The sequence below is a fragment of the Homo sapiens genome, chromosome 17 (assembly GCF_000001405.40).
Source record: "Homo sapiens chromosome 17, GRCh38.p14 Primary Assembly".
In the NCBI taxonomy this organism is placed as follows: domain Eukaryota; kingdom Metazoa; phylum Chordata; class Mammalia; order Primates; family Hominidae; genus Homo; species Homo sapiens.
Window position 1 is genome coordinate 11,794,124 of NC_000017.11, and position 14,997 is coordinate 11,809,120.

At 44.3% G+C, this 14,997-nt stretch overlaps 1 protein-coding gene across 5 annotated transcripts in view; it reads left to right on the top strand.

Annotated features, from left to right (window-relative positions):
* The window catches only part of DNAH9 (dynein axonemal heavy chain 9), a 371,279-nt gene that overhangs the window by 195,654 nt on the left and 160,628 nt on the right, over positions 1–14,997 (top strand). For all 5 annotated transcript variants that reach the window (XM_011523703.3, NM_001372.4, XM_017024292.3 and 2 more), the window contains 2 exons: positions 3,474–3,670; positions 13,609–13,771. In XM_011523703.3, the coding sequence (XP_011522005.1) occupies positions 3,474–3,670; positions 13,609–13,771 (360 nt within the window). The remainder of the gene's footprint in view (positions 1–3,473; positions 3,671–13,608; positions 13,772–14,997) is intronic.

Sequence of the window (14,997 nt, forward strand, 5' to 3'; positions counted from 1 at the left end):
AAGCTCCGCCTCCCAGGTTCATGCCATTCTCCTGCCTCAGCCTCCCGAGTAGCTGGGACTACAGGCACCCGCCACCACACCTGGCTAATTTTTTGTATTTTTAGTAGAGACGGAGTTTCACTGTTTCACCGAGGGTTTCACCAAGGGTTTCACCGAGGTCGATCTCCTGACTTCGTGATCCACCCGCCTCGGCCTCCCAAAGTGCTGGGATTACAGGCGTGAGCCACTGAGCCCGGCCTGAGCAATTTTGAAACTTGGAACATTTGAAATAATTTTAAAGACTGAAAATTTGGTCTAATAATAATCTAGAAGTTATTTCTCTGTCCACTACCCAGGTCTACATGACAAACTCTCAAATATTTTAATGCCACTTATCTCACTCTTCCTGAGTCTTCTCTTCTCCAGGCGAAATAGCCTGAATCCTTTTAACCATTTCTGACATGGATTGGTTTCAAACTTAAAGAACTCTGACATCCTCCTGATTGCTCTCTCACCAGTTCTCCCCTCTGAAATTGTGATGCCTGACTTTTCGTTGCACAACCCAGCTGGGGTCTGACCAAAACCAAGATCATCATTCCCCCTTTTCTTAAAGACTATAGTTTTGTTTCTGTGTTTCCCAAAATGTGTCCTGCTAAGTAGTTTTGCTACAAGATACTTCTTGAAAAAGAGTCTCTGTCATGAAATGAGTTGAGAAAATGTTTCACTGTATATGACTCTCTTGGAAATTCACAGTGGATTTAAGGCATTAACGTTCTGCACTTGGACACAGGAAGGGGAACATCACACACAGGGGCCTGTTGTGGGGTGGGGGGAGGGAGAAGGGATAGCATTAGGAGATATAACTAATGTAAATGATGAGTTAATAGGTGCAGCACACCAACATGGCACATGTATACATATGTAACAAACCTGCATGTTGTGCACATGTACCCTAGAACTTAAAGTATAATAAAAAAATACATATATATATATAAGACATTAAAGTTCTGAAATCTTGAATAACTCTAATTCACATATCATTCCCCAAATGTATTGGACCCTAAAATTCTTTCCTCTCATTAAACCTATTAATAATTTACATAATGAATGGCCCATGGATTATGCCTTGGGAGGCATTGATATAGTAGCACAACCTGAGATCGTATTCTATTTCTTAGCGTCGAAATTACCCCACAGTTAACAATGAGCCTTCTATTAACCAAAGCCCCATCTTTTCCACACATACTGCTTGTCTGTTCCCTCTGGAAATTAGAAATATTCAAATTTTGTATTTAGGTATGCTATGTTGTCCTCATACTCACCTTGTTTGGTTTAGCTCCGTATTTTTTTCCTGGTAAGATCTTGACTCTACCTCTGAAGATATCTGCAGTCCATCCCAACCTATGTGACAGCCTTTTGAATGTTTAGACAGCATTTTAAGTCACTTATTTTATTCTGCTTTTTACTAAGCCAGCTGTCCTAAATTCTCCCACTTCTCTCAGCATTGTTATTGGGGCCTGATGTTTGAGACCCTCATGTTAGATGCCCTTCTCTGAGCATCATAGAGTTACCCAATTCAGGTATTCATTGTTGGCCTGGCAAATTAGTCTTCATGGTCTTTACAAGTCGGTCTGAGCTAGCACTTCAGAGTAATAACACTTGAACTTTCAAATAGAGTTCCATGTGTGGGTCTGTGTATGAAGAGCACTGCCTTTTGATCACAGACCCAGATATATGAATATTGCCATTATCCTTCCCCAACAACATTTGAAATGCCAGCCTGAAGCACCCTTGGTCACACCACATCTTGGTATTGGTATCAAGGAAAAGTTGCCAGATTTTCACCAACAAAGCAATAAAATCCTGTTTCCACTATTCAAAGCTTAAGCTTCTCTGATTCATGGCCCTGTGTGATTTGGCATCACTATTAAGGAATCTTTGATTCACTGAGTTGGTTGATTTTCTCTCTGCCTTCTACACAGCATGGCTCTGATCATAAAATCACAGACTTGTTTTGTTCCTCAAAGAGTCTTTGTAAACCAGCCTTTTCAAAACTGCACTTTAGTTCCTCCTCCGCTAGATGGTTTTTGTCAATTGACTAATATGAGAACTGATTCCCAGGACATTAGCCCATTCTCAAACAGGGTAAATGTCTTCCCACATTACATCCTCCATCCTCATGTGTTTTCCTAATAGCAAGAATAGTCCTCCTGCACTGCGCTTACATCTTATCCAAATGTCTGAGCATTTTTGTTATTGTCTGGCAAAGCCAGAATAGTTTAAAAGTTTTCTATAGTTTTTGAAATCACCTTCAAAATCTAATAACTTTTTTATTTTTAACTCTTTCCAGTCCTTTCTTCTTACACCCAGGCAGCAGCCCTGGTTTCTCTATAGATGTTACTGTCTTCCTCACTTTCCCTATATTAGGTTTGGTGAATCTCATCCCATAGGTTACAAGGCTTACCCTGCAGTGACTTATGCCCTGGGACGTGTCCCTGCTGATAAATAACACACTGGTTACCTCTTTCCCAGGTAGGTCTTCCAGTCTGAACTTTAGGAGGAAAAAACGACAGGTGCGGACAACTGCTCATGCTGGCATAACTTCCTATTTGTGTCTTAGAAAGCCTATTCTTTCTCGGACTTTTCTCCTCGACAACCTTTCCTCTATCTCAAGTCTCAGGTATTTGGGTTTTGACAGGCAAGTAGTTCCTTTTTGTCTCCACTAACATGAAAGTTAAAAAATTGGTCTTCTCTTCAGTACTTAGAGATATATTGGTGAAGAGACGCAGACTCCTTATCCTTCAAATGAATTGAGTTATACTATACTATAACCAGCCCGTATTTATTCAACATGGTAACATTTCTCCTATGGGTGAGATTTGACACACAGCCCGAAAGTGTTGTAAGTAGGGAGTTCTACCATAAATGCGTTAAGATTACCATAAATAAACCAGTCACCTGAGGGTGGCTAGTAGCGCATTCTTCAGAAACCAAGCCCTCTGGACTGAACCTATGAATTCAGGGCTGGCAACATACTTGTGTAATCTCACAGGAAAAGATGTTGGATGGCTTTGCTGCAGATTGAGGACCTAGATCTGTTGGAATGTACATGCAGAAAGTGAGGCGATTGGGCCACGATCCCCTTCATTCAATACTGGTGAAAGAGCCCCCACTTAGAGAAATCCACCCATCCATCCCCATCCATTCTTCTCACAGAAGCACTCTCTTACCGTGCTTGTGAGGAGGCCCCATCCCACCTCCCACTTCCCATCCTCAGTCCTTAAGGAATAACAAACATCACCTGAGACTTCATGGAGCTGGTAGATGGATGTTAAGCATCCACTTAAAAGGGCTTCTCAAGAGAAGGGCATGTTGGAAGTAGCACTGATGCCTAATTTCCAGGGAATGTGCAGAGCAAATCAGGTGTCTCTGCTCTGTGGAACCAGCCCCAGAAGTCAATAATGAGGGCCCTTATTCCTGTGTCTCATCACCAGGATATTGAAGACCCTGTGGAGCAGACCCAAAGCCCGAACCTGTATTGTCACTTTGCAAATGGTATTGGGGAGCCCAAATACATGCCTGTACAGTCTTGGGAACTTTTGACCCAGACTCTGGTGGAGGCCTTGGAGAACCACAATGAAGTCAACACAGTGATGGACCTAGTTCTCTTTGAGGATGCCATGCGCCATGTGTAAGTGTGCTTCTCCTCTTCCTTTTCCTCAGTTGCTTCCTCTTCCCAATGACAGGGGTCTCATTCGGCTATTTGAGGTCACTTCCGTAAAGCCAGGTAAGGAGCTCCGGCTTCTGCCTTAAAAGTCAAGATGGCTGCTGGCAGAGCAGCTGCAGCTCCTGCCGCAGACCCTAGGGGGCAGCACAGTGCGGAGCTCAGGCAGGAATGGGTTCATTTCCAGGTCCGCCATTTGCTATCCCGGGCATAATCACAGTGACAGCAAGAACAGACTTGAGATCATAAAATGGGACCCAGAACAGCTCAGGACCTCCATCACCACCTTGTTATTAGTCCAAGGGCCATTTAAAAAAATGAGATAGGCTGGACAGGATGACTCATGCCTGTAATCCCAGCACTTTGGAGGCCGAGGCGGGCAGATCACGAGGTCAGGAGATCAAGACCATCCTGGCTAACACGGTGAAACCCCATCTCTACTAAAAATATAAAAAAATTAGCCAGGCGTGGTGGCACGTGCCTATCATCCCAGCTACTCCAGAGGCTGAGGCAAGAGAATCGCTTGAACCTGGGAGGCCCAGGTTGCAGTGGGCCAAGATGGCGCCACTGCACTCCAGCCTGGGCGACAGAGCAAGACTCTGCCTCAAAAAAAAAAAAAAAAAAAAAAAAAAGAGAGAGAGAGAGAGAGAGATAGAGGGTTTGTATTCAAGTGCATACATATTTCAAAAATTAAATATCCTTTTAGTGTTTTTGCTATCTAGTGAATCACTGAAAGTAATAACCAAGCCTCCAAGACAGTCTAGCCTCACACCAACACCATCCCTACCCTGCTTCTTACATTTCCCAATCTGAGACCCATTGCCAGCGCTCACTGCCCTCCAAAATCCTTCCGCCTTCCCCCAGGGTACTCACGGTCTTAGCAACAATATCTGCTTCATTTCAACTTCTTTGAACTTTCCCTTTACTGCCAAATTCTAACTGATACCTGACTGACCCCTGAGTGGAGGAAAGCTGTTTTTTCTTCCCCATTCTATGTGCCCCAGGGCCTAGAGAGGAGTAAGTAACCTCCTTACCCCCAGTCCCCCACCCCAATGGCACATTTAAGTCCTTTCTTCTCTTACCCTTCAAAACCCCAGTTCTTTTGAACACAAGTCACCTGCCTTTCCTACTCATTCTTCCTCCTTGTCACTGTTATCTGCTGACAGTCAATCACTCCCCATCATCCGCTAATGGCCTTAGTCCCTGGGCACCCTTCCTCCTCACCCATGTCTCGACTCACTCTTGGCATCTAGCTAATAATCCTTTCTGTTCCTTGGCTTGCTTGGCTCCCATGGTCTTTTCTTCTAGCCCACCTCAGTTCTCACTTTCATGTTCCTATAATAGGAACCCACCTTCAAAATCCCAACTTCAAACATCCCACTTTCTGACCTGTACCTGCCACCCTCCCACTTATCTGCTCTGGTCTTTCATTCAACTTCAAGACTTCATTCATTGGACCAACTACTTCCCCAGAAGTAGTTATCCGTTATCTCTCCCCCTACCATGTCTTTACTTTCCCTTTTTAAAAATTTTATTTTATTTTATTTTATTGCTTTTTGAGACGGAGTCTCACTCTGTCGCCCAAGCTGGAGTGCAGTGGCGTGATCTCAGCTCCTTGCAAACTCTGCCTCCTGGGTTCAAGCGATTCTCCTTACTTTCCTTTTTAACCACCATAGACCCCATCACCCCAGTGCCAGCTCCCCTAACTTTCTTGTCATTGTATCCACAAAATCTCACTCGGGCTAGACCGCACTGTCTTTTTTTGTTGTTGTTGTTTTGAGAGGGAGTCTCACTCTGTCACCCAGGCTGAAGTGCAGTGGTGCGATCTCAGCTCACTGCAGCCTCCACCTCCCAGGTTCAAGCCATTCTGCCTCAGCCTCTGAAGTAGCTGGGATTACAGGTGCCCACCACCAGGCCTGGCTAATTTTTTGTGTTTTTAATAGAGACAGGGTTAAACGATGTTGGCCAGGCTGGTCTCAAACTCCTGACCTAAGGTGATCCACCCGCCTTGGACTCCCAAAGTGCTGGGATTACAGGCCTGAGCCACTGCGCCCAGCCCCCACTATCTTCTTACTCTACCCGTGCCCCTAAGCAGCTAGATACTGTTGAGGAAAAATATCCCACCATGTTGATTGTTTTTGCTCCAGATCTGCATCCATAAATATCAAACAGGTCTCAACATTGCTAGAAATTGTCCTCCTCTACCCTAAGCATGTTGCTTCTTTCACCATCCCGTGATAACTGCATTACACATTTTCCTTCTCTTTTCAAACTCCCAGCGCCTTATTCCCAGTTAATAAGAACATCTCTTATTTCACTGGGATAATGAAAGTGACAAGAAGAGAATCTCGCGTCTTCCCGTCATCAAATCTAACAGCCTATGTGTATCCCTGCATCCCTCCCACAAGTCCTGCCTTCCCTACAACTTCAGTTCATGAACACCCCTATCCCTATCTAAGTCTAGTCCCTACACCTGCGCCCTGGATCCCACCTCCTCTCACCTTCTCGGTGACTTCACCTCTCGCTGTAATTATCTCCTCTCTCTCTCTCTCCTTCTCCCTCTCCTATTTTCTCTCTCCCCTCTTTTATCTTACCCCATCATTAATTTCTGGATTATATGCATCAGCATACAAACATGCTATGTTATCATTTATCAAAAAATAATAAACTATTCCTTGCCTCTTACATTCCTTTCCATCTACTACCCCCATTTCTCCGCTCCTATCCGCAACGACACTCATCCAAAACGTTGCCCATCTTTGTCTTACTTTCTCACTTCTGATTTCCTTCTCTGCCCACTTCTTAGCCCTTGAACAAAGCAGTGCTTATCATTGTCACCTCTGTAGTGAGGTGACCACACGTCTTGCTGAAGTCAGTTTTCACTGCTAAGTCCTCGCCTATATTACATGACGCCCCTGTGGTCAATGATTAACCTCTGTCTGTTTGCATCATCCACTCATCCAACATATATTTATTGATTAGATAATCTTAGGATAAGTGCCGGGATCCTAACCTCTAGGACACTGTGTGGAACCTAGCAGGTGCTCAGTAAAACTGCTTAGCATGTTATATGAGACTAAATCATGCAGAGGAAAACAGAGAGGGAAGGGGAGTAGAGAGGACTGAGGGTGATCCTAATTATAACTAGGGTCATCAGGAAGGCCTCCCTGAGAGGGTAGCATTTAAAACGACATGTAGCTCAACATAGAACTCTCTGTGTGCCTTGTGCATAGTGCTTTGCATATATCATTGCATTTAGTTTTCACAAAAACCCTGAAGAAGTAAAGTTTTGTTATTGTCTCTATATTATAAATGAGGAAACTGAGACTGAGAGGAGAGAAGTTGCCTAAGGTCACACTCCTCATAAATAGGTAGAACTTGCAATAGTGCAATCTGGCTCCAGAGTCTGTGCTCTATACCATCATCCTATGAAGCTTCTTCAAATATTTTTTTGTATCCCCCTAATCTGATGTGAGCTCCTTGAGCACACAGACTGTCTTGCTCACTGCTGAAACCTTAGTATCTTAGACAATGCCTAGTGCATAGTAGGGTTCAGGAAATGAGGCATTAAAAGTTCAACCTGCCGGGCACCGTGGCTCATGCCTGTAATCCCAGCACTTTGGGAGGCCGATGCGGGTGGATCACCTGAGGTCAGGAGTTTGAGGCCAGCCTGACCAACATGGTGAAACCCCGTCTCTACTAAAAATACAAATTAGCTGGGCATGGTGGCAGCGTGCACCTGAAATCCCAGATACTCGGGAGGCTGAGGCAGGAGAATCGCTTGAACCCGGGAGGCAGCGGTTGCAGTGAGCCAAGGTTGTGCCATTGCACTCCAGCCTGGGCAACAAGAGTGAAACTCCATCTCAAAAAAGAAAAAAAAAATTCAACCTTATGAAGCTCCAGTGAGTATTCTCTCTTCTCCTGAAGAGCCACCAGTATGTCTGTCATAGTCTTGGAATTGAGGCAAGTCTTTGTCCTTTAAGGGCGAATTTAATTTGAAAAAATTGTAAGTGATTCCATCAATGTGGCTTCCAACATGGGTGATCAAACTAATATTGTTTTTAGAAAAAAAAAATAATAAGTACTGGCTACAAACACTGGCTTTCTTCCATAGGCTTATAAACAAACTCTGAAGTTAGTATCCAAAGAGAAGCCTGAGCCTCATTTAGCAATGGCAAAATAACTGGGAAAATGAACTGCCTGGAAGGGGACAATTCTGAAGAATAAAATGTATTTAGTTGTATAATTTCCCATACATTTGTTTAAAGACATCAACCACCCGTTACTTTATCCTCGCTCTGCCATTCCCTCCCTTCCCTGGGGCTCATGGACCTCTCGTTGCTGCCTCTACCAACCAATAAAGCAGAAGGATTCCCCTTCTTAGATCAGAAAAAGGATACCAGGCAGTAAAGGGAGAAACACAGATAACCTAAGAGTGTGGGAAGACTCTATGGCCTCACATCGCTACACACACAGCACTCCAGAAAGGTACCACCTTCTGAGACGCAAAGTGGGAGTAGGGTGGGCATGGTGGCTCACACCTGTAATCCCAGCACTTTGGGAGACCAAGGCGGGATGGATCACCTGAGTTCAGGAGTTCGAGACTAGCCTGGCCAACACGGTGAAACCCCATCTCTACTAAAAATACCAAAAAACTTAGCCAGGCATGGTGGCAGACACCTGTAATCCCAGCTACTCAGGAGGCTGAAGCAGGAGAATCACTTGAACCCAGGAGGTGGAAGTTGCAGGGAGCCAAGATCGTGCCGCTGCATTCCAGCCTGAGCAACAAGAGTGAAACTCCATCTCAAGAAAACACACAGACAAAAAAAAAAAAAAAGTGGGAGTAGGACAGAGCAGACGAGGAAGGAGACTGTGTGTGTGCCCTCCCAGGAACTCACAGGTCCAGGGATCCAAGGCGAGAACCTATTTTTATAATAACTCCATCCAGCTGTTTGTTCTCACCACTCGAGCTCGCATCATCTTTCTTTTTAGTTAGAGTCCCCTACACCCTTCCCCAGCTTTGCTGCTCTCCCTTTCTGCAGTTTTGATGCTGAACTCAGTAACAGAGCACTGTGTAGTGGTTATGGACAAAAACCAAACCAAAGTTCAAATCCTTGTTCTGCCACAAATTGGTTGGGATGCTTTGGGAAGGATGCTTAACCCCCAAGCCTAAATATCCTCACCTGGGAAATTAGGATATTAAGAATGCCTGCATCGTAGGGTTGTTGCTATCTATGCAAAGTGCTTTGCAGTCAGTAAATATGAAAGTCTTTTTTCTTTGTGCTATTGCCTTATTTCCTTAGTAGTACCACTTTTCTACTGACTTTCGTCACCACTTCAGCAGATTCTTGTTCTGCTTTTTCTTCAAGCTTTAAACCAGATCTTTTCCCCCGCTTTTGGCATCATCTCCATTCATCTTTTTCTGTCTCTTTGTTTTTCACTCCCACATATATTTTCTTCTCTTAGAATCACTTAGCAATCATTAACAACAACAACGACAAACCCTCAGATGTACTTCTTTTGTGCCCTGAGAATCTTACCCATTCTCTAGGGGTGTGTGTGTGTGTGTGTGTGCGCTCGCACACACGCACATGCGTGTCTAGTCCAATAAATCAACTTCCTCCAGCTGTGCGATGGTGCATCTTCAGCTTTTGTTTTTAATCTCTCAGAAATTCAGTAATGGACTTAACTTAGACTGCCTTGGTTTTCTGGCCCAGGAGCACTTTAGAATATTGATCTTCTTTTTAAATTTTGTAATTTAAATGCAGAGTTCTTTGCCCTCATCAGAGGTTGGTAATGAATCCCCAGCTGGAGTCCGGTGCTGACGGTTGCAGACTTAACCACACTTCTCTGGAAACTTCATCACAAACGATGCATTTCCCATTGAGATATTGAATGGCATGGGCCATGCTAAGCTGAGTTCAGGCCTTCAGAATAGGGCTGGGGGGTTGGGTGACCCAGAGAACCCAGCTGGACTCCAACTCCTCTGACTCCTCCTCCATGCCTGCCTCTCTCTTTCCTCCACTAATCCTTTCCTGCCCCAACTTTTCTGAATCAGGAGAGAGAGGCTGGGTATCTTAGCACCATGGCTTCTCCCTTCATCAGGCACCATCTCATGCAGACACAAAGCAGATAACCCCTTGCACCCAGCGTAATGAATCATTGCGTACATCACCCCAAATGTGGAGCTCATATAAGGCATGGGTTGTTCTGTTTAAATTTAACAAAAATGTATTAGATACCTTCAATGTGCTGTCACTGCAGAGAATACAAAATGAGTATATGTACTCTTCAGACATCTAGAAATTACAGTTTCATAGGAAAGCAAGAGAAGTGTAAATCTATCTGATATAAGACAGTATAAGTTTCACAATTAAATAATTAAAGTGGAAAAGTAAAATCATAAAATTACTGAATGTAGGTCAATAAATAACTCCTGAATATTTAAGTCAAAACATTTTAACTACATAAAATTTAGTAGTTAACCACATCCAACTTTAAGACCTAAAAATATTTGTATATCTGAAACATCTTTAAAAAACTGGAAGATAAAGGTGAGAAATTGGAGGATAATTGAAAACATACATAAAAGGGTTTCACAAATTGAGAGAAACACTTCAGTTGAAAAGCAGGCAATGGGCATGAACAGAAAGTTTACAAAACAAAAATAATAAAATGCTTCATAAACATTTAAAAATGTTCAATTCCCTAGAAACCAAATAAATAAAAATAAAAACAGTAATTTTTCCACCATTAAATTGGCAAAGATTGGCCAGGTGCGGTGGCTCACGCCTGTAATCCCAGGGAGGGAGGCCTGGCGGGTGGATCACAAGGTCAGGAGATCGAGTCCATCCTGGCTAACCTGGTGAAACCCCATCTCTACTAAAAAAACAAAAAATTAGCCGAGCGTGGTGGCAGGCACCTGTAGTCCCAGCTACTCGGGAGGCTGAGGAAGGGGAATGGCGTGAACCCAGAAGGCGGAGCTTGCAGTGAGCCGAGATCGCGCCACTGTACTCCAGCCTGGACGACAGAGCGAGACTCTGTCTCAAAAAAAAAAAAAAAAGTTCTTTGGGGGCCAGGAGTGGTGGCATGCAAATGTAATCTCCGCTACTCGCTACTCGGGAGGCTGAAGCAGGAGAATTCCTTGAACCTGGGAGGCAGAGGTTACAGTGAGCTGAGATCCCACCATTACACTCCAGCCTGGGCGAGAAAGCAAGGCTCTGTCTCAAAAAAAAAAAAATTAGATGTAAGATTCAGTGTCAACAAGGGTTGGGGGCCAGACTCCTACACACTGCTAGCAAGATTTCAGAGCAGCAAGCGCACCCCACAGGAGACATGGGGCAATGAGGAACAACAAACGTTTAGTTTATTTATGTTAATTGTGAACAGGTCATCAGTACATGCAAGAAATTTGCAGAAATAAGAAACTTCAAACCACAGAGGCTCAACACAAGCTCTGTAACTTTATATACACTCACATGTTGTTCATGCGTTGAACCCCACCCACCAAAACCCGTGTCCAGAGTTTCTTCCAAACTGGAGCTAGCTAGACCTTATGTTGCTCCACCCTACTTAATTTGAATATGGCATTTCTAATTATAACATCATTAACACAGACAGGAGCACAGGATTGTAGCCCATGCAATTCAATCTCAAACGTATCCTCTACTCTATTTGGCCAAACTTTACCCGAGTTCTTTTTTTTTTTTTTTTTTTTTTTTTTTTTTTTTTTTTTTTTTGAGATGGAGTCTCTCTCTATCATCCAGACTGGAGTGCAGTGGAGCGATCTTGGCTCACTGTAACCTGTAACCTCCGCCTCCTATGATCAAGAGATACTCCTGCCTCAGCTGCCCTAGCAGGTGGGATTACAAGCACTCACCACCATGCCTGCTAATTTTTGTGTTTTTGTGGACACAGGGTTTCACCATGTTGGCCAGGCTGGTCTCGAACTCCTAACCTCAGGTGATCCCCCCACCTTGGCTTCCCAAAGTGCTGGGATTACAGGCATGAGCCACCACACCTGGGCTCCAAAGAACTTTTTATTGCTACAAATGTTTCACGCATCCAGACTGAAATCTTGAACCCTCTCCAGATGGGGTTTCACCATGTTTCCCAGGCTCGTCTCAAACTCCTGCCCTCAGGTGATCCTCCTGCCTCAGCCTCCCAAAGTGCTGGGATTACAGATGTGAGCCACCGCTCCCAGCCCGAGTTCCTATTCTCACACTCTTTTGGTCCCCAAATCACCAATACCTGTTGTCTCTTCTTCCAAAAACATTTCTCTAAAGCAGCTTGATCACTGTGTTACGTAGCCCTGAATTTGCTGACTTAACACATCCTAATTCAACTAACACATCCAGTATATTCAAATCCTCCAATATAGCAGATCCACCTTTTGATCAATTCTACCCAGGAAAAGTACATGTCGGTGCCGTCATTCTGCGCGGCAGTCTCTAAAGACTGTCTTACTGTTTGGCTCAACAGTTTTACTTCTAGAACTTATCCTGAGGATATAATCAGAGATATAAACTTAAAAAATATATACAGTGTTATTTATAAATGGAAAATGTTGGAAGCAACATACATATCCAAGAGCAGGCTATTACAGACAGGCAATTTATTCTATCCTTATTACCAACACAATGTTGGTATTCTACACAATACCATTCTACCATCAAAAGTCTGGTTTAGCTGAATTTTTAATGGCTTAGGGAAACAATCACAGTATATTGCTAAATGAAAAAAAAAAGTTTTCAAAAGACTGTGTTCAGTATACAACATGAACTCAATTTTTAAAATACACATAACAGAAATATATTGACTTTTCAGGTACAAACAATGTATGTACATATATATTTATAAAAATGCAGACAAACACTAGAAAAAAGTCTAGAAGGGCCTATAATTCACATCAGTAGTGTTTATTGCTAAATAGTAGAACTGTGGATTTTTTTCTGTATTGTACGCATTTTGTACAATGCAGAGCCATTGTTTTAAAGATGAGAAAAGGAGAAAATCAGGGTTCTTTTTATAAAGGGTGTAGCACCTTGCATAAGGTATATGCATACTGCTGAGAGGGGTTAGACATACGATTGGAAGCGGATCCTGGAGGAGAGGCTGATGGAGGGTGGCCTTTGAGGAAGGGCTGGAGGGCAGGAAGAGTGGTTTCCTCTGAAGAAGATGAGGTCTGGAATAGTCTTCCATTGCAAGGAAGGGGGCAAGGAGAGAGGAATATGGGCACTGAGAGCGGTGAGCAGTAAGGCTGTGAAGGGAGGAATCCAGAAGCCAGGGATGCAGCTGTCTTACCTATTGATAATAAGAACCCACAAACCTTCATTACAGGGTCATCCACGCCCAGGAAGGATTGAAGAAGGGAGACAGAAGAGTTCTGTCCGGGCTCCCTGTTTCTCTCCTGCTGACTTTGGTTTGGCTTCTCTTCTTTCCTAAGAGGAACCAACTTCTGCTCCTGCCTTGTCCTCCAGCCTTTCCTGAATTTTTTAAATTGTGTGTTTTCAACTGTTTCGCTTTTTCCGTCCCCTCTTCTTGCCCAAAAGAATTGAAGTGGGAGGTGTGGCAGGGTCAGTTATGGTGCGGAGAAGAGCAAAAGCAATCCTGAGTCCCTTCCCTATCGCATCACTCATCCCCTGCAATCCTGCTCCCTTCCATGGGCTCCCCCAGGCTGTCCCTAGTTCACTAGAGGCTGTGGCTTAAGGCAAAGCAATGGCAGCTTCAGTCAGCTCGGGCAAGAAGGTGAGGCCAGGTTTAGGGACAATCTAATAAACGTTTCCCACAGCTCAGCCTGTGACGTGCCTCCAAGGAAGGCCCCTGCTCCCACTCAAGCCTTTATACATGCTTCTGACTGCAGAAAGTCTGATCAAAGCAACATGTGCCTGCTTCCTTCTCTTTAGCTGCCATATCAATCGCATCTTGGAGTCCCCGCGGGGAAATGCTCTGCTGGTTGGTGTAGGTGGGAGCGGCAAGCAGAGCCTGACAAGGCTGGCAGCTTTCATCAGCTCCATGGATGTCTTCCAGATCACACTGCGCAAAGGCTACCAGATCCAGGACTTCAAGGTAAAAGGTCAGGCAGCTGCAGGGAGGAGGCTCAGCTTCCCTCCAACCAGCCACAGTTCCATCATCCTTCACTCGTTCTCCAGTTCCCCTGTCTGGAGCCTCCCCTTCAATGTCTGTCCATTTCTGTCTTAGGTTCTGGGCTGGTGATGTGAATGACTTCTCATTAGACTCAGCCTGAGAACAGTGGCATTTCCAAAGTCTGCCTTTGGGAGACCTCAGGCGTCCTAGTTACGTCTGTGGGGCCTCCACTCTTGCTCAAATCAGAAGCACATCTGTATCAAATTCAGCACACAGCTCACTGGCAGTGGGAGCAGACAGATGGAATTCTGAAGGTCTGCTTGAGTTTCCTAAGAAATTCAGATTTTAAAAGACGGGTCAGTAACCACTGGCCTCTGGGACCTTCAGTGACATATCCTGGTTTCAGACAGCCAGCACTTGGAGGCTGGATGAGTACTCTGGAAAGTAAAGAAAGACACTATATACAACCTTCAAAGGTCATTGTGTCCAGTCCGCTTTGTTTTATCCATGGCCACAACAGTCTTGGTAGGAAGTCACGGTGTAACTTCTATCAGGAGGCTGCTCTTGCTCTTCCTGGAAGAACTCCAGCCAGCACTGAGCCAGTCCTACCCACTTGCCCTCATAATCTCTCAGCCAGTGACAGAAGAGGGAGGTGCTCACTTCTGCTCTAAAACCACAGCCCAGCCTCTCGACGACTGGCTGAATCTAAGGTCATACATCAAGTTCGTATTAGGTCTTTCTTTAGTGCTTCCAAAAAAGACATGATAGTGTGATAGGAATTACACATTTACAGAATGAGCTGAGACTGTGGGTCTCAACTTTTACTCTATATGGGAATCGCTGGGGATCTAGAAAGAATACTGATGCCTGTGTCCCACTCCCCAGTATTCTGGTTTAACTAGTCTGGGGAATGGCCTGGGCATCACGATTTTTCAAAGCATCCCCAAGATGATTCCAATGAGAACTGAGAAACACTGTCTTAGATCACTTAGAGGATGCGATGAGAACCATTGATCTAAAACAAAAATCAGTATATTTAAAGGGGAGCTATTTGGACACTAAGGTAGCTCTGTGGTAAAGAAATGAGTGGAGTTGTTAGAAATAGCTGTGAGTAATGTGAGAGAGAGAGAAAGGCAACATCAAGAACTGATGGCTGAGCTTGGGGAGGTTGATACACCAAAGGAACTGAGATTGATCAAGCTGGATAA